Source organism: Homo sapiens, chromosome 2 (genome assembly GCF_000001405.40).
Source record: "Homo sapiens chromosome 2, GRCh38.p14 Primary Assembly".
In the NCBI taxonomy this organism is placed as follows: Eukaryota; Metazoa; Chordata; class Mammalia; order Primates; family Hominidae; genus Homo; species Homo sapiens.
This window is the reverse complement of record NC_000002.12, coordinates 239,150,832-239,168,673: the sequence shown is the minus strand read 5'-3', so window position 1 is coordinate 239,168,673 and position 17,842 is coordinate 239,150,832. Positions and strand designations below refer to the sequence as shown.

The 17,842-nt window shown below is 52.4% G+C and overlaps 1 protein-coding gene across 46 annotated transcripts in view; it reads left to right on the top strand.

Annotated features, from left to right (window-relative positions):
• HDAC4 (histone deacetylase 4) overlaps nucleotides 1–17,842 on the top strand; it is a 353,482-nt gene that overhangs the window by 232,976 nt on the left and 102,664 nt on the right. For all 46 annotated transcript variants that reach the window (XM_047446489.1, XM_047446486.1, XM_047446483.1 and 43 more), the window contains 2 exons: nucleotides 4,751–4,871; nucleotides 11,901–12,022. In XM_047446489.1, the coding sequence (XP_047302445.1) occupies nucleotides 4,751–4,871; nucleotides 11,901–12,022 (243 nt within the window). The remainder of the gene's footprint in view (nucleotides 1–4,750; nucleotides 4,872–11,900; nucleotides 12,023–17,842) is intronic.

Here is a 17,842-nt window from a genome sequence, read left to right as displayed (position 1 = left end):
CAGGCTGGAGGAGCAGTGGCGGGCCGGCGCGGGGGACACGAAGCACCGCCAGCATCTAAGCATTTGAAAACACGGTGCACAGCATCTGTTTATTCTCTTGGGTTTTTTTTAAGTGAATTTCTTATTGAGTATCTAATAAATATCATTACACTTATAAACATTTACATTACTTTTAATTTTAAATAATTCTGCACTTTTATTTATTGATACCAAGTAATGCAATTCATTTGACAGAACGGTGGCAGTTTTCATCATGTTTAGCAAGAACACACTGTCTTTAACCAGCTAGGTTTTGATTTAGATTAACGGCACTTGGGAATCTAAGACACGGCTCTTCACATAAGCTCGGGGAAGGAGCAGGGGCAGGCTGGACTCGGCCCGAGCAGTGTGGAGCGAATACAGCCCCGCTTTCTCTCACTGCGGTCCACACGCGCAGCCCTGCAGGGAATGGAGGGAGGTCACTGAGCAAGTCCTTTGCTCTGTGTAAAAATGACGTGAAAGGCTGATCCTGAAAGTCATTAGGTGTCCTTTCCATGAAGTTGTGCCTTCCTCAGAGGCAAGGGGGTGGAGAGAAAAAGGAGCACTTTCAGGCAGAAGCCAAGCAGAACCTGCCACAGCTCTGTCGTCTGGACTCGCCAGGCCCAGGCCACGGCCCTCCGGGAGCACAGCCGTCCCTCCCCGAACACAGCCGTCCCTCCCCACCTGCCCCGCCCCGCCCCACCCAGAGCTGCTGTCCTCCTCTCTCTGCCCCGCTCAGCTGTTGCTCGCTCATTCCTTAGGTCTCGGGTGCACTCTCTGCCCCCTGGTATGGGAAGAACTTGGCCTCTTTTATCCACCGCTTCATCTCTGCTGGCCAGAACGGGCTGGCATCTCATAGAGCCTCTGTAGAAGCCTCCATGCAGGGGATGAGTGATACTCAATGTGAATTAAGAAAAAAAAAAAAAAAGTAAAAGTAAAAATTAGGGAGATCTGCTATCCATTTGTTGAATGGGTTTTTTCATTCTAGAACTTTAAGTGAGAAACCTGTTGACAGATGAGCGTGTGCATAACCAGAAGTGCAGAAACGGGGTGGGGGTCAGAATCAGCCCCTCATTTTGAATACTCTCCTAGTAAAGTCTGAAAGATCAAAAGAAGATTCCTTGGTGGTTAGAAAGGTCATGAATCGAAGACTTACCTTCCTCGTGTTTCCTGCTGGCCAGGCCTATGCTGGGCATGGGTGGGGTGTGAACCCCAGTCATGTCTGCCCCCCACTGCATGGGGCATGAACGCCAGTCATGCCCAGCACCCAGCCCTGCATAGAGGGAGCCAGGCAGGACCCAGGCTTGTGGCCAAGTCACCCTTTGCCACCGAATGGTGTTTGCAGAAGCAGGGAGAGGACGTGGGTCATAAAGTGGGTCCTGTTCCTGGAGTGCGCACCCTCCCCCGTGGAGGGCCAGTGGATCCACAGTAACAGCTGTCCCTGGGAACTGGTGTTTTGAGCAGGTAAGGCTGACTGCACTGAGTTTGGGTCTACTGGAAAGTGTTGAGGGCGTCCTCGTCCCGCACACCGAGAACCTGCTTCTTGTCCTGCTCTGCTGCCTCCACTCAAGGACGGCCATGTAGGGGGACCTGCAGGGCAGTCCCCTCCAACAACTGGCCATCTGGGTCCTCATCCTCACTGTCGCTGTCACCAGCATCATTTTGCGGTTGGACTACTTCCCTGCACTGTCAGCAGCATGGGTAGTACCCAAAAAAATGTTATCCGTGTAAAGGCAAAAAATTGAAGTTACCCATTTCACTTCTTATTTCTTTTATCAGTAAAGTTAAGCTGATTTAACATACTCATTGGCAAATTTGCCTTCTCCTTTTGAAATTCGCCTTCTGTGTTCTCTGCTCACTTATCTTCCCCACCGCCCGGCCTTTCCTTTTATTCCTAGTTGTGGAGGCAGTTTGTATATTTACGAGGTTAACTCTCTGGTTTATGTCTGGGTCTGTTTTTCCAAAGTTAGCAGCCTGTTGCTGATAATCTTTTAGGAATGCCAGTGCTCACATGCCTGGGAATGGTAGAAGCGAATGGTTTCCATAAGTGTGTGATCTTCTGACCAGTCCCCTTACAGACAGACAGTTCAGCTAAAAGTGCTTCTAAGTGATGTTCGAGTCTAACGCCGGGTGCCCTGAAAAAGCATCCCTCCTGTCCCCCCACCGCCACCCTACCTGGGGCAGTGCTCACCGCAGTCACAACTTAGGTGATGAGACATCTTCAGCAGCATGAGCTGGGGGACGTCACAGGCACAGCTTGACTCGGGCAATGACATGATTTTCTCAGACCGACAGAGAGCCCTGAGCCTGAAGCCTCATGCATCACGGTGGCCCTTCCCGGACTCATGCTGGTGGTCGTGTAGTTAATGTCTTTGTGTTTCCCTGGCTTGGCTAGTGCAGGCCCCACCACAGCCTGGGTAGACCCTGTTTCCAGGCGTCTCATTGCTGACTGACCCTTGACCAGACATTAAAGTTCCACCTTAATGTAATGGGAGTGGGGTTCTGCCGTAGGGAACACAGAATGAGCCTAACTAACAAAAACTCCATTTGTGAGTGGCAGCAAAGACATTTGGTATGTGATGAAGGTGGCAAGGAAAAGACATCTTTCTAATGATATTAATCATTTATTAGCAGTTGGTCAGAATATCCATAGAGCCTTATATGCCAAATCCATTTCTGAGCCATCAGAGTGAGTCATGAAAAAATTTAGCAAATAACCAAATGAATGAAAACCCAGCACCAGAACCAAGGATAAAATTAAAATGATGGCTTATTAACCACTGAAAGGAGGAACAATGGCAGAGTTTTAAGGAAAGGGAAAACTCACAAAGGAAAAACTAAAATAGACTTTATAAAAACAAGCATTTGAACATTTTACCCAAATTGTAAAAGGAAACAAGAGGCAGGGTAAATGCACACACACACGGAGCAGCCGAGAGCCACGAACCAGGGCGTCCATGAGACTTGGTAACTGAGCCAACCTCACCTGAGGCGCACCTGGCCGCCTTTGTGTTCTCCATCCACAGTCGGGGGATGAGAATACCTATTTATAGCTCTCATGCGAGGCCGAACCAGGCCAGGGCTGGCATATACTAGGCTCTCGATACAGCCATTATCATAAGAAACCCACGCAACTCCAGTGGATACAAGTATGAAACACACACACACACACAGACCCACAACACCACTGTGCACATCGCCGGAAGATTCTAAGAACACATAAGCCAAGGACATGAATTATCTTGCAAGAGAGGAAATCGGCGCGTGTCCAGTGGTGCTCAGGGGTGCCTCACAGTGATGCCTGCTGGCTTTTGGATTTGGGCAAATGGTGATTTGAGGACCAGCAGGAGGAGCAGCTGCCCCTGCTGCAGGTGGATGGGTGGTTCAGGGGGTCAGCGTGTAGAGAAGTTTCGTTTTTCTTTTTTTCTTTTGAGACAGGGTCTAAACTCGCATTGCGCAGGGTGGAGTGCAGTGGCACAGTCTTGGTTCACTGTAGCCTGGACTTCCCGGGCTCAGGTGATTATCTCACCTCAGCCTCCCAAGTAGCTGGAACTACAGGCACATGCTACCACACTCGGCTAATTTTTGTATTTTTAGTAGAGACAGGGTTTCATCATGTTGTCCAGGCTGGTCTCGAACCCCTGGGGTCAGGCAGTCTGCCCTCCTCAGCCTCCCAAAGTGCTGGGATTCCAGGTGTGAGCCTTCGGGCCTGGCCTATGTGTAGGGATATTTTGGACAGCAATTTACCAAGATGTGCCGAGGGTTAGAATAGTAAGTTTGTTAGATGTAGTCACTTTGCCAAGATGTCCTAAGCAAGTAATTCTAAAGGTAGTCAGTGTTACCCACTCATAAATGTTCACTGCAGCGTGGTTTCTAACAACCAAAACTGTCTCCCAGTCGGGAAGTGGTTTTGTAAACATGCTTCACTCACCTCAAGGTGTGTTTTTGACCATTACAAACGCTATCTGAATATTATGCAACACTAGGAAGATACTTAAGGTGCTGTAAGAAGGATAGAAGTACTGTGTGGTTAGATTGGAGATCTGAGGCGAGCAGCCTCCGTGCTAACAGGCCTTGTGTTCAGGCGGTGAGAGTGGCCTTTTTTGCCAGTTCCCTTTAATGAGGCTTTGAAAAAGAATCACCGCCACGGAAGAAAACCACAGTTTCGACTTCGGTCCCACTTGGTGCAGTCACTCTGCCTGAGTCTGAGCTGCCAAGCTGGGGAGGACAGGCGCTGCCCTTTGATGCTGTTGGAAGCAGAGCCGGCCGTCATGTCGGCGCAGGTGTAGAAGGAAGCACGCCTGCCTGTGAGACTGGCTTTGTCCCTGCGTGATGCATCCATTTGCACAAAGCCTTCTCTCTTAGATTCTGCTTTGCGGTAGCAAGAATGCAACCACCACGCTGCCACTGCCTAATTCAGAGTGTTCTTTTATGTAAGAATATTAAAACTTCCTTCAGAAGTGGGTTTTGTGTTAGCTAACAATAAGTCTTTCGGATGATTAAATCTGCATTTTAAATAGAATGCAATGATGTAAAATCTTGATGGGAAGAAAACCTCTCATTAAAACCCCTCCCGGCCTTGGTTCTTTGAGGAAGCGCTCAGGAGGCCACAGCGTCCTGAAGGTGCATAGCCGTCCCCAGCCCTTCCCTCCCTCTGTGGCCCCGCTGCCCTGCATTGCTGCTGTAGGGCAGAGCCACACTTCACCCCCTGCTATGCTTTCTCCCACGCCAGGTGCCGTGGCCAGCACAGAAGTGAAGATGAAGTTACAAGAATTTGTCCTCAATAAAAAGAAGGCGCTGGCCCACCGGAATCTGAACCACTGCATTTCCAGCGACCCTCGCTACTGGTACGGGTAAGTGTGGGTGTGGGGAGCACCCCGGCCTCCTCTCTGGGGGCCCAGAGGACTGTCTGATCGCCGGTAGATTTGCATGGAGCCAGCTCTTCACCGGAGGCAGGGAAGGAGGGTGAGGAATTGAAACCCCAAGCACAGTGGTGCTCGGATGTGGGTGACGTGTTCTGGGGGTACACTCGTGCGGCAGCCGTCCTCACGGAGGGGCCCACCTCCAGAGTGACATGGTCTGGGGGTACACTCACACGGCAGCTGCCCCTGCCCTCACAGGGGGACCCACCTCCATAGTGACGTGGTCTGGGGGTACACTTCCACAGCAGCCATCCTCACGGGGTGGGCCCCCCTCCAGAGTGACGTGGTCTGGGGGTCCACTCACACGGTGGCCGTCCTCATGGGAGTGGGCCCCCCTGCAGAGGGACCGAGCAGTGCTCCGGAGGCTGGTGCCTGTCGTTACTCTTGGTAATGTTGTGCCATTTTTCAGCCACAATAAGAGCCACTTAAACTGGAACTCTTGTCTGAATCCTCTGTGCTCCGACAGCGCTCCCACCTGACGTTTCAATAATTCTTAGGCTAGTCAGGAAGCCCCCGTGGTACTTCTATTATTTTATACTAAGAAACCCTGCCAGGGCCCACGCAATTGACAGAGACCACAAAAGGCTTGTTCGTCTGAGGACTGAAGAGAGCCGACCTGCCATGCAAAAGAAGGCCTTCGGGGGAGAGTTCACAGAGCACAGTGCGAGCGAGTGGCGAGGTGATGCGGCTTGAAACAGTGAGCAAGGGCAACAGAGGATCGCTTTGAAATGTAGTTTTCTGCTGCTCTCAAGGTTCATTTCATTTCTAGAAAAAAATCCCATAAGGGAGTTTTTGTAAATCGAAATATCAGTAATTTCGTTGGAAAAAAAATAGCTATTCTCAAGCCTCAAAATGGACAGCTATGTGTAGTGAGACCCCCCCACAGCTCAGACGCGATCCCCCTTGTTTCCGTGGAGGCCGCCCGCTACCCCGACACATCCCAAAAGGTGTTTCCAGCACAGGTGGCCCACGTCCTCCACTCTGGCAGCCGCTGTGCTTGCCAGTGGCACATAAGCTGCACTCACGGCAGACACACCGTCTGGATTTGGGTAACTCGACCAGGGACACACAAACTTGCAAGGAGGAGTGAGACCGGCGTCCATGGGAGGCAGCACGTGACAGCAGTGACCCACTGGGACCTGAGAGAGGAGGTGGCTTCCTGAGAATCGCTGGCAACCGGCACCTGGGAGCCCGCTTTGGGGGAGACCCCGATCTGTGCCCCCAGAGCCAGTCCACTGCCTGGACTGGTTGTGGAGAAACTCCATTGTCCTACTGGCTGGGGCAGGGCGTGGGGTTGCAGGGCAGAAGGAGCAAGGGACAGGAGTGTGGATCGTGGTTCAGATGGTGCCCCTGGGGCCCAAGCTGGAAAGGGCAGGATGAGGAGCCAGGGGCAGGGTGGGCCTGGGGCCTGGCGGAGGATGGAGAGCTGGAGTGCAGAGCCTGCTGGACCAGGGCAGGGCCGCCTTGGGTCCCCCTGTGAGGCAGCCGAGCAAGCGAGCTTTGAGAAGACAGTGATAGGAGTGGGGCAAGCACGGGCAGCCCTTTCTGAAGAGGAGCACAGAGTCTGGGAGGCTGCAGCGGGAGTTGGAGGACTAGAGCAGTGGGGCTGCTGGGAAGCAGGGGTCACGGTGAGCACAGGGCAGCCCCCAGAGGGTGGCCACGGCAGCATGGAAGAAGGTGGGGAGCTGGCGCCCCCTCGCCCAGGAGTCAGTGGACAGTGGACGGGGGGCCGAGGCCAGCAGGAATAGAAGCCGGGCAGTGGCCTGGACCTGAGGGGAGGACGGAGCAGCAGGCCCAAGGAAAGGCTGCACCTGCAGTCAAGGAGGCCACGGGAGAAGAAGTGGCCTGGGGCAGCCTCAGGGCGCTGAGGGACGTGCTGAGAGACGGGAGATGGGGGGCTTCCAGGGAGGAGGGGTGGCAAACAGAGTGGCTGGGGCTGGGAGGACTGACTTTTCCTGGAACTCCCTGGGTGAGCTGGGTGTTCAAGGTGAGTGTCTTGGCCTGGACAAGGGCGGCGTGCCCTGGCTTTAATGGCAGGGGCCGGAGGTACTTCTTCTCAGAGGGCTCTGGGGACCTTCAGGCTGGAGGGGGAAGGACTTGATCTCAAGTCAGCCATAGGACAGGTTTGTTTTCCTGGAGCCTGGTGGTTTTCTTGTTTTGCCGTATTTGAACCCTGAACTTAAACATCATGGAGTGGTGGCAGAAACTTTGTCAGAAAACCGGCTCTTCATAGGGAAAGAACTGAAACCCTGATCCCAGCTTCACACCACGCATGATTAGTTCAGATGTCATAGACCTGAGCCTAGACGCAAAACTGATCAAACTGGAAGGAGACCTAGTAGAAACTTTTCCCAACCTTGATGGGGAGGGGGAGGCAAGATTTCTTAGGTCGCCAAAATCATCGGCTAGATACCAAAAACCCAAAACATGATATTTCCACAAACTGAAACACTTCTGCTCTTTCAAAGGCACCATTAAGAAAATTAAAAAGCAAGCTACAGAATGGAAGGAAATATTCACAATGCGTATATCTTACAAACCGCTTGTATCCAAAATGTAGAGCTCGTTCCTATAACTCAATAGTAAAAAGACAAGCCGCCCACTTAAAAATACGGTCAAAAGGTTTGAACAGGTACCTCACAAAAAAAGGCATGGGGATGGCCAGTAAGTGTGGAAAAGATGCTCAAGATGGCTGGTCATCAGGTAAATGCAAATCAAAACTGCGGCAAGCAGCCCCTTCATACCTGTGGGGATGGCCGGAGTGAAACAGGCCGGGTGCTGGAGCAGATGCGGTGTCCCTGGACCTCTGTGTGCTGCCTGTTGGAATCTGAATCACACGTGGGAAAACAGGCAGGCAGTTTCCTACAAAGACAAATACCCACCAACCCTGTGACCCAGCAATGCTTCTCCGTATTTGCCCAAGACATGAAAGCAAGCAACACGACGAGTCGTCATCTTACGGTCACAGTCACCAAACAGTGGAAACAACCAAGCTATCAACAGGGGAACGGCCGCGCAAACTGGGGCCCCTGCACACGCTACCGTGCAAACTGGGGCCCCTGCACTGCTACTCCGCAGTGACAAGGAACGGACCGCTGGCGCCTGCAGCAGCTTGGGGGAGCCCCAGAGGCACGGTGCCTAGACAAAGAGGCCACCCCCATGACTCCACTGATGGGAAATTCAGAGTCAGCAAAGTGAATCGACTGTGAGAGAAAGCAGACCAGGGCTGGGAGGCTGCAGAGATGGATGGTGCTGTGGCTTCATCAGGGCGTGGACTCTGTGGGTGTTTACGTGAGTCACCGCTTCCAGCTTTAAGACTGTTGAGACAAGATGGCACCTTCCAGTGTGGCTGCCACAAGCCACACGTGGCTCCCGAGCACTTGAAACGTGGCTGGGTCCGACCAGGACATGCCATAGATGCAGAGCATGGAATTTCAGACACTTGGTCTGAAGAAAGGACCTACGGTGTCTTATTAATATGTTTATATCGATTATAAGTTGAAAGGATGGTTTTTATAATGGTTTAATCGAATACTAAAATTAATTCCACCCATTTATTTTTATCCATGTTAATGTGGCTACTAGGAAATTGTAAATTTCACATGTGGCTCCCATCATGGTACATTTCTGCTGGAGTATCCTGGCGTATGTGGTTCCTCGTTGTATTTCTTGGAAATCACTGGTACGAATCTGATGAAAGGGCAATGGTTTGGAACTGAAATGGTTGAGTTTGTATGAAGCTTTATTCTACAGTCAAGCCAGTGTTTAGAAGAAAACAGTATTTGCTTTTCCATCTTCCTCCGGAAGACAAGGTTTGCCTTTAGGTGTGGCATCCGGGTTGGCCCCAGGGCCCCGTGGGGGCTGCACCTCGGCTCCTGGCCCAGCGTCTGTGTCCCATCCCCAGGCTGCAGGAAATGAAAGGTTGAAAAATCGGAAGATAATTTATGGTCAGGTGAGGTAGAGGGAGCAGCTCTGTAGGTTCTGCCCTCAGGGCTCCGTGGGGTGGCCAGTGTGACTGTGTGAGTGTGGAGTGTGGCCGGGGTGAGTGTGAGTGTGGGCTGTGGCCGGGGTTAGCTTAGTGTAGGGTGTGAATGGGGGATGTGGGTGTGTGCAGTGGGTGAGGTGAGTGTGGGGTATGAGTGTGAGGTGTGGGAAAGGTGACAGGTGTGAGTGTGAGATGCGGGTGTGTGTGTGGGAGGTGGGGTGTGGGTGGGTGTGAGGCATGAAGTGTGGGTGTGTGGGGTGTGGGTGGGGTGTGCGTGTAAGTGGGTGTGAGGTAGATGGGTGTGAGTGCGGGAGGTAGGCATGAGTTTGTGTAAGGTGAGGGGGTGTGGGTGGGTATAGGTTGTGAGGGGGGTGTGGGTGTGAGGTGGGTGTGGGGTGTGGAATGTGGGTGTGAGTAGTGTGCAGTGCAGGTGTGAGTGTAGTTGGGCGTGAGTAGTGAGGTGAGGTGTGGGCGTGAGTGGGTGTGAGTAGTGTAGGTGCGAGCGTCAGGTGTGAAAAGTGAGATGTGGGTGTGAGTAATGTGAGGTGTGGGTGGGAGTAGTGTGAATTGGGGGCGAGTAGTAGTGAGGTGCAGGTGTGAGTAGTTGGGTGAGCTGCAGGTGTGAGTGGGTGTATTGTGAAGTGCGGGTGTGTGTGTGTGAGGTGTGGAGGTGAGTAGTGAGATGCAGATATAGGTATGGGTGAGGTGTGTGTGGGTGTGAATAGTGTGAGGTGCAGGTATGGGTGGGTGTGAGTAGCGTGAGGCATGGGTGTGAATAGTTGTGTGATGTGCGGATGTGAGTGTTACCAGTTGTGTGATGTGCGGATGTGAGTGAGAGTAATTGTGTGCGGTGCGGGTGTGATTGCAGCAGGGATAGAGCTTCACTTCTGCTCGCCCTGCTGGACGCTTCTTCGCGGAGGGCACGCGTGTGCGGTCTGGCCTGGGACCATGTGACCAGGGCTGGGCGGGTGTGACCTGCCCTGACGGTGAGGGCCGCCCTCTCCTGGTGTCTGGAGGGCGGGTGCGCGGTGGGGCGGGCTCTGCATGGTGTGCTCCTGGCGGTGAGCTGGGCTATGCAGGAGGTGAGGTCGCTCCTGTGAGGTCTCTGGATCCATCGAGGTGGTCCAGCGGGGAGGCGCTGGCAGTTGGGGGGCAGGGCCCAGCCCCTCCTGCACCTGCTGCTCTGCTCGTTTTAAGGTTTGACAGGAAAGTGGGGATTTTAACACTGAAAGCACCTCAAGAGATCAGAATAGTAAGAGAACGTCTGTTAGATCTTAAACCAATGTAACTTTTGCAACTCCTACTTCACTGTAAGCAAATCCTACCGTTCAAATATAATAATTTTTATTCCATTTATTTAAATTTATTATTATGTAAATACTGATCTTTTTAACTCGTGGGATGCATGTACAAGTCACTCCGTGTTTCCCATGAAGGAAAAAGTGAACGCGGAAATGGTCCCAGACTGTCACCTGGTGTTGAAGAAGTTTGGAATCAGCCAAGATCACATTCCCCATAGGATACAATCTGAAAATACTATTTGGTAGAGAAAGAGTGTTGCCCCCAGACCTTTTCATGAGATTGTGAGACGAGGGGTAGAACTACAGGGAAGAGAAGGGAGGCTTGCACAAGGACGTGGTCCCACTTGGAGGCCACAGCCCCTGCACAGGTGCAGACAGGCGTGTCCCAGCCCTGCAGTCCGAGCCTGACTGCATGGTGGAATTCCCCGGGAAACAGCGAGAAGCTGCTTGGGGTTGGAGGTGTGCCCTGAGCAGTGGGCGGGGTTGGGGCGTGGCCTGAAGCTGTGCAGTTTTCCGGAGCTCCCTGAGCTCCTCCTGTGATGCACGGCCCAGCACCCCACTGCCCAGGTGCCTGGGCTCGGCTCCTCAATTTTGTCTATGAGTTCCCTTCAGCACATTCTTTGCACTGGTGTGCTCTCAAATATTTAAATATACACCTGTACCCATTTACAAGCTCCCATTCTTAATTCAAATAACTCCAGGTGCATTGGTGTGCCATACTATGTATTCAAATAGTCTAACCAATTCCAAATAAGTAAGTCGGCAAATTTGTTTGTAGTCATTAAGCAGATTACGCAGTTTAAAGACTCAGAATTTATTCCACTCAGCACAGTGTTTTGAGCAAGACTGAGCTGTCAGTGCCGTCAAAAAAGGCCTTGCTGATGGTCATCCGGGTGGCAGCCCACATCCCCGTCCCGGCCCAGGGCCCGCCTCCTCCCCATGTCCGTCCTCCGGCCATTCTCCTGGCAGACGATTCCTGTCTTGCTGCCTGGAGGGTGTGGAGTTGTACCCAGCTGTTCATACAGGAAGTCCCTTTCGTAGGTCAGCTCCCTGGGCACAGGGTATCAGTAGCTGCCATCCTGTTCCTCCCCCAGAGAGGGAGGTGACCAGGGTGAGTTTGGTGAAGGCACGGATGACGATGGGTGCCTTCTGAGAGACAGCCCCATGGGCTTCTTCTCTCCAGGTGGCAGAGAGAGTCCCACACATCACAGCGTTTGTTCTTAGACCGTTTTTTGCCCCGTCTCAGCTGCCTATGAACTCACCTTTGATTCCTTATGCAGCAGCCTACTGTTTTCCTCTTCCTCTCCCCACCGGGGATAGGCTCTCTGAGTGGCCAGTGGTGGCCCTGGTAGCGAACTGACTGGGCTGGAGCCATCTGAGAGGACAGGGCCAGGTGGAGAACAGCCACCAGGAAAACGGCCAGAGGTGCTGCCCATCCCATCCCCAAGCACTGCTGGTCCCGCAGAGGAGGATGTGGGCATCGGATGTTTGCTTGCTTGTTTAGCATCCTGTTTGTTTCCATTTAATTTCAGCTTGACCCTAGGGAAAAGGTGTGTCTGTTGAGGTGGGGCTGAGGTTTCAAGGGAAAGATCATCGTGTGTGGCTTCTCGGCTGCAGCATGCCTGGGGCAGTGCGCTGGGTAAACTAAACCATCTGTCTTTGCCTTCTCTCCAGGAAAACGCAGCACAGTTCCCTTGACCAGAGTTCTCCACCCCAGAGCGGAGTGTCGACCTCCTATAACCACCCGGTCCTGGGAATGTACGACGCCAAAGATGACTTCCCTCTTAGGAAAACAGGTCAGTGCCCAGGCATGCTGTGGGCCGGGAGGTCTCCTGCACGGGCACCTTCCACGCCACAAGCCACGCAGGGCCCACCGCTGTCTTCCACTTAGAGAAGGAATCACCTGCAGATTTTTAAATATTTTCTCCTTTCATAGAGCATCGTTTTTAAAAGATATCCCTAAACATTTCCTTATTATTTATTTCAAAAGAAATGAACCTAACGCATGTACACCACTGCTGAACACTCAAACTCACTTTGAAAGCACACTCAGTTTAGTTTTCTTTCGGTGGTGTGTTAGATTTTGCCACACTGAGGGGCGTCCCCGCAGTGGTCACAGGGTGAAGCAAGTTCCTGTTGGTGGGCCATGTGCCGTCTGAGAGCAGGTGAGCCTGTGGCCTTCAGGGATGGCGCTGGGCAGTGCCAGCAGCAGGGCCTTCCAGGTCCCCAGAGTGGGAGGGAAATCTTTATGAGAAAGAAATTCGCTATGTCCTGCAGGGGATATCCCAGCTGGGCTCAGAGTTATGTGCCACAGTTCTGTCCTAAGCCAAGGGAGAAGGGCATTTAGGCACAAGCAGGTGCCTGGACCATCTTAGAAGCAGGGAGAGGCGGCTGCAGCAGTGTCTGGCAAGTCAGGACGGACCCTCTGTGACTTTCTCAGGGGCCACGGCAGTGGCTTTAGATAATGATTAGGGTGGCTGTGGGCAGTGCGCTGGGGTAGCAAGAAGGGCAGGGGCCAGGGAGTGCCTTCCAGAGGCTCTGCCCAGAGAATTGGTGAGGGCAGGAGCTGGAGCAGGTGCTGAGGGCGGGCAGTGCCTCATCCCAGATGTGGCCAGTGGATCCTACAAACTGCAAGACAGTGTGGGAAATCCCAAGGCGTCCTCCCTAGGGGGCGGCTCTTGGAGATGAGAGCCTAGGGGCACCGCTTTTTTTTGCTAAACAAATTCTCTGTTATCCAAAGGTTTTGGCCAGTTCTGGGCGGAAACAGTGAACGTACTCAGTCACACAAGGGCTTCTTCACTGGAACAATGAGGCTTTGTGAGGGGCTGCTGGGAGCCGTGTCAGGCCAGCCACATCCCTGGAGCAGAGGGTCATATCAGGCCAGCTGTGACCCTAGAGGAGTAGGCCATATCAGCCAGCCACATCCCTGGAGCCGTGGGCTGTATTGGTCCAGCTGTGACCCTAGAGGTGTGAGCTATATCAGGTCGGCCATGTCCCAGGTGGAGTGGGCCATGTCCCAGGTGGAGTGGGCCATATCAGGCCAGCCCTGTTCCCAATGGAGTGGGCTCTATTAGGGTGTGTTGAGGCGGTGGTGTCCCAGGTGGAGTGGGCTGTATTGGGCTGGCCATGTCCCAGGTGGACTGGGTCATATCAGTCTGGCCCATGTCCCAGGTGGAGTGGACCATATCAGGCCGGCCATGTTCCCAGTACACCTATTAGGGTTTATTGAGGCGGTGGTGTCCCTGGAGCAGTGGGCCGTATTGGGTCAGCCATGTCCCAGGTGGAGTGGGTCATATCAGGCTGGCCACGTCCCAGGTGGAGTGGGTCGTATCGGGCTGGCCATGTCCCAGGTGGAGTGGGTCGTATGGGGCCGGCCAAGTCCCTGGAGGAGTGGGTCATAACAGGCCAGCTGTGACCTCAGAGGAGTGGGCCGTATCGGGCTGGTGGAGACCCTGCTGGAGTGGGCCATATCAGCACGGCCATGTCCTCTCCAAGTCAAGAACCCTGCAAACATGGGCGCATTTCCATTTGGGCCATAAACCTTTATTGGGAAAAGTGAACCTAGAGCTTCTGCTGCTTTGTTTCATGGGTGTGAGCCTGTGGTTCTTACTGATGCTTCTACTGAGAATGGTCCTGGATTTCACCTGGAGAGCGCCCTAAAGCTTGACAGAAAGAACGGATTTAGAGATCAGTATTTTTTCCAGAAAGATGTGCCCAGTAGTATCAGGAGAGAATCTGTGGGCTGATTCTTACAAATCGCCCTCCAGGTTCCCTTTCTGGGGACTGATGCTATTATTAATCAAATTCCATCAACAAAACCAAAGTCCGCGGTGAGTGGTGGGCCCTATGCTGGGAGAGAGACCCGGGGAATGGGGAGGCAAGGAACATGCCTACCCGGAAGAACCCTGCCCTAGAAACTGGAGCGATGCCGAGGGTGGAGGGTGGGAGCCCGGAGGTGTTGTCATCAAGTGCTGTGGGTTGGATGTGTGCTCATTCATGTAATAGCTCTGTGTGCCCTGAAACAAATGCCTTCCGTTCCCCTGGCCTCCATTTCCTCATCAGCACAGTGGGTCTGCCCACACCCACATCCTCACGGCTGTGGCATGCACCCATCCCCAGAGTCTCCTCTTGTCCTGGGAGTGATGGCTGTGGCACTCAGACTCCAGAGCCATGGACCCAGGAGGGAGCTTCCAGCGAGAGCACCAAGCCCAGCAAGTCGGCCTCATGTGGGGACGTGCCTTCCCAGAAACTCCCCATTTGGAGCCTTTCCACCAAGGGCCCCAGGAAAGGACAGCACACACCACCCATCCCATCAGGCCCCAGAGCAGTTCCTCAGCAGCTCCACACCCCAACTCGCAACAGAACAGCAGGGATGGGGGAGCCCTAGGAGCTATTTGCACTGGCTCCTCCCCCATCCCAAATGTCAGCACTACCTGGGGATCAGCCTCCTGTTCTAAGAAACAGAACCAGCTTGAGTACTTCATAGCAAGGAAGGCTATCAGCATGGGAGACGGCACACTGTCACGGCCCTGCCCTGCTGTTCACCATCAGAGGCCTTTCTCCCATAGGCAGGGCCCGCGCCATCTCTCGTAGATTCCGTGGCTGTTGGCTTCCCATGCTGCCTTGTGTTTCTCTGGGGATGATTGGAAGCAAAGTCTCCAACACCTTCTACTGTGCTTCTAACCTTGTGATAGCACCACCCTCCAACTCCCTGCTTTCTTGAGAACGGAAGAGAGAATTCTGTTTTCACACTCCGGGAAATGTTATTTAGAATACATAGTGCTCCAGAAGAACTTAATTAAGATTTGATTGCATTATCAGTTTTTTAAAAAGTCATCACTACCACATTAATAATAATAACATAAAGATTTCCGAGAAAACGTTTAAACCACTTAAGAGAATAGTGTGTAGTTACACACCCTGTATCACCCTTGACATCTACTTTCAAACACATGACATCGCTCATTCTAAGTAAGTTATATCTGTGCTTTTCTGCAGTAATTGGTAATATGAAACACGTCATTAAATTTTAGTTATGAAGTTCCTTGAATGAACTGAAATAGTCTTTAATAATTGTGATGTAGACTTAAATAATTATATGATTTTGATTTTACATTAACTTATCCTGACCCGGCACACAGTTTGCCCATTTCTGCATCTCTAAAGGGCAATTGTATGACCTGTGAACATGTGAAAAGCTTTGTCACTGTCTTGTGAATTTTGTCGTCACCCCATGCATTTTTTGCATGTCCTTTGCTGGCTCTGCTGACAGGTAACGCCTGTACCAGCTCAAACGTCTGACCTCCCTGGTGAAAGCAATGCAGTGACTCCTATTCGGAGCTTGGGCATATTCTGGGCATTCACATCGCCTGCACCTGTGGGCAGGACCAGGTGCCTGAGTTTCTACCCAGCTCCTTCACCCGCCACCTTGGGACCTGGGGAAGCTCTTGAACCTCTCTGTGCCTCAGTTTCGTCATCTGTGAAATGTACCTTTAAATTGCTTCTCTCCTGGAGCTATCATGAGATGTGAATTAATTAATATTTGCAAAGTCCTTCGAGTAGGACCAGATCGAGGTGTTTTCTGCTCTTGTTTCTCTACGCTGTTAGGGTGTTTTTGATTTTTTTCTCCATCCAATGACTGGTAACTGCCAGACCCAGCATCCCCCCACCTCCTTGCCTCCATGCCTACAGTTCAGGTAGAAACCAGCAGGAGCCACTCACCTCCACTTAGAGAAGGACCACAAGGATGGGAACACCAAGATTTATACCCAAAATCTGGCCAGAAGGGCCCATCTTGCTCTGTTGGCTTTTCAGGGCTCATCTCCTCGCTCCTGGCTTGCCTTCACCTGAGTGCCATCTCCCAGGAGGAGCCTCCACCGCTGGGCTTGAGAGTCAGAGACCTCTACCCAGGGCCTCAGGTCCAGCTCTTCCTGCCAGAGGCCCCGCCCCTTTCCTGGGAGATTGGCAGCAGGGGTGTCTCCACTTCAGAGGTCTTCACCTCCCGCCAGATTTCGGCCCAGGGTGAGGTGCCTGGTCCCTTCCCATGTCTGTGCAGCCTCAAGTGTCACCCTGACTTTGGGTTTCTGCAGACTTGTGAAGCCGCCAAATGTGTATTTTTAAATATAGTCAGAAGAGACAGAACTGTGTGGATCACTGTCATGGACATAGGACGCTGGATCTTTCCTGCACTGTGTGGGTGTCAGATGGCTTCACCAGAAACTGCATTTAAACAGAGCCTTTGAGTCCATGTTCACGCTGAGGAATGGAGGCTTTTCCACTTTTAAAAGCAAGCAACGTTTTGTCATTTTGATGATGTTGAGGGATCTTAGTTTTCCCCAGTAACATCTTCATCGTGATCTTCTTAAAGATATTAGTCACCGTGTATTTTTTATAATGACTCTTAAATTTTCCCCTCATGTGACTGCTGATAGATGAAAGGAGGCCAAAACAACTAACTAACTGTTGTCCAGCCAGCACAGTTCGTTCCCATTTGTCAGCAGCTTCTTGGGCCTGAGCACTGAAAACCGTGCACTCCACAGCACTCCTTGTCCAGCATCCTCATGTGTCCCTGGGCACATGGTCCTAGCAGCAAACACTCTCCCCAGCATGTGTTGGGGCCCGGCTGCTGGCCTGGGCTGTGGCACTGCCATGGATTGTCCTGGCTCTTTTAAGGAAGCAAAATCCCAGAGCTCACGTTTGGTGAGAAGTTGGTAACTTCAGCCTTGTTCCGGCATTCTCTAGCCTGCCTGGTAGGGCTTGGTCCCCACAGTTGGGTGTGAATTGGGAGGAGGCTGGGCTGGTCCTAGGGACCGAATTCTGTTGGCCCCTGTATGGATCATGGATCTGGGCAGTCAGTCAAAGGTCCTGGGCTCCCTCTGCACTTGCCTCCATGGTCAGGCTTGAAAAGTGTTCATCTAGCTCTGCCCTCCTCACCTGGGGCCTTCTGAAACCAGTCACTCAAGGTCACGGCTGCCCATGGGAAACATCCATCCATTGCTTAGATGTGCAGATAGGGTGGGTTTTCCTCCATTTTGGGGGGAAGCTGTCCCGCTTGGTGAGGAAGAGCACAGGGCCTGTGGCCAGGCTGGCGCCCACGACACCATATCCTGGGCAGACTAGATGACCTCCCGTTGTGTCCGCAGGTCTGCAAGGTGGGGCGGTGGGCATCCACTTCATGGCTTCATGGTTCTTTCATTAGTCAAGTCCCACAGCTCATCAATAGGCTCATGGCTTTCGCCCTGTGTACTAGTGACCTGAATAAAGTTACAAGTGTTTGTTCTTATCTGTGTGTAGAGTAGGCTCAGGGTACTGTGAAATAGGACAGAGTGTGTTTTCCACCCTCACATTCATCCCTGAGTTTGGGAAGGGGCTCTCTGTTTGCCTCTGACCATTGCTTGCTGTCCCTTGTTCTAATGCAGTTTGCAGAAACTGCTGGAGAGGGGTGGGACCAGGAAGAAATGGGCAGTGCCCACACTTCCTGCTGCTGTATGTAAAGGTGTAATGTAGTACATACTTCAGGAGGTGCAGTGTGGTGAGACTTCCTGCTGCTGTATGTGAAGGTGTGGTACATACGGAGGTGCAGCATGGTGAGACTTCCTGCTGCTGTATGTGAAGGT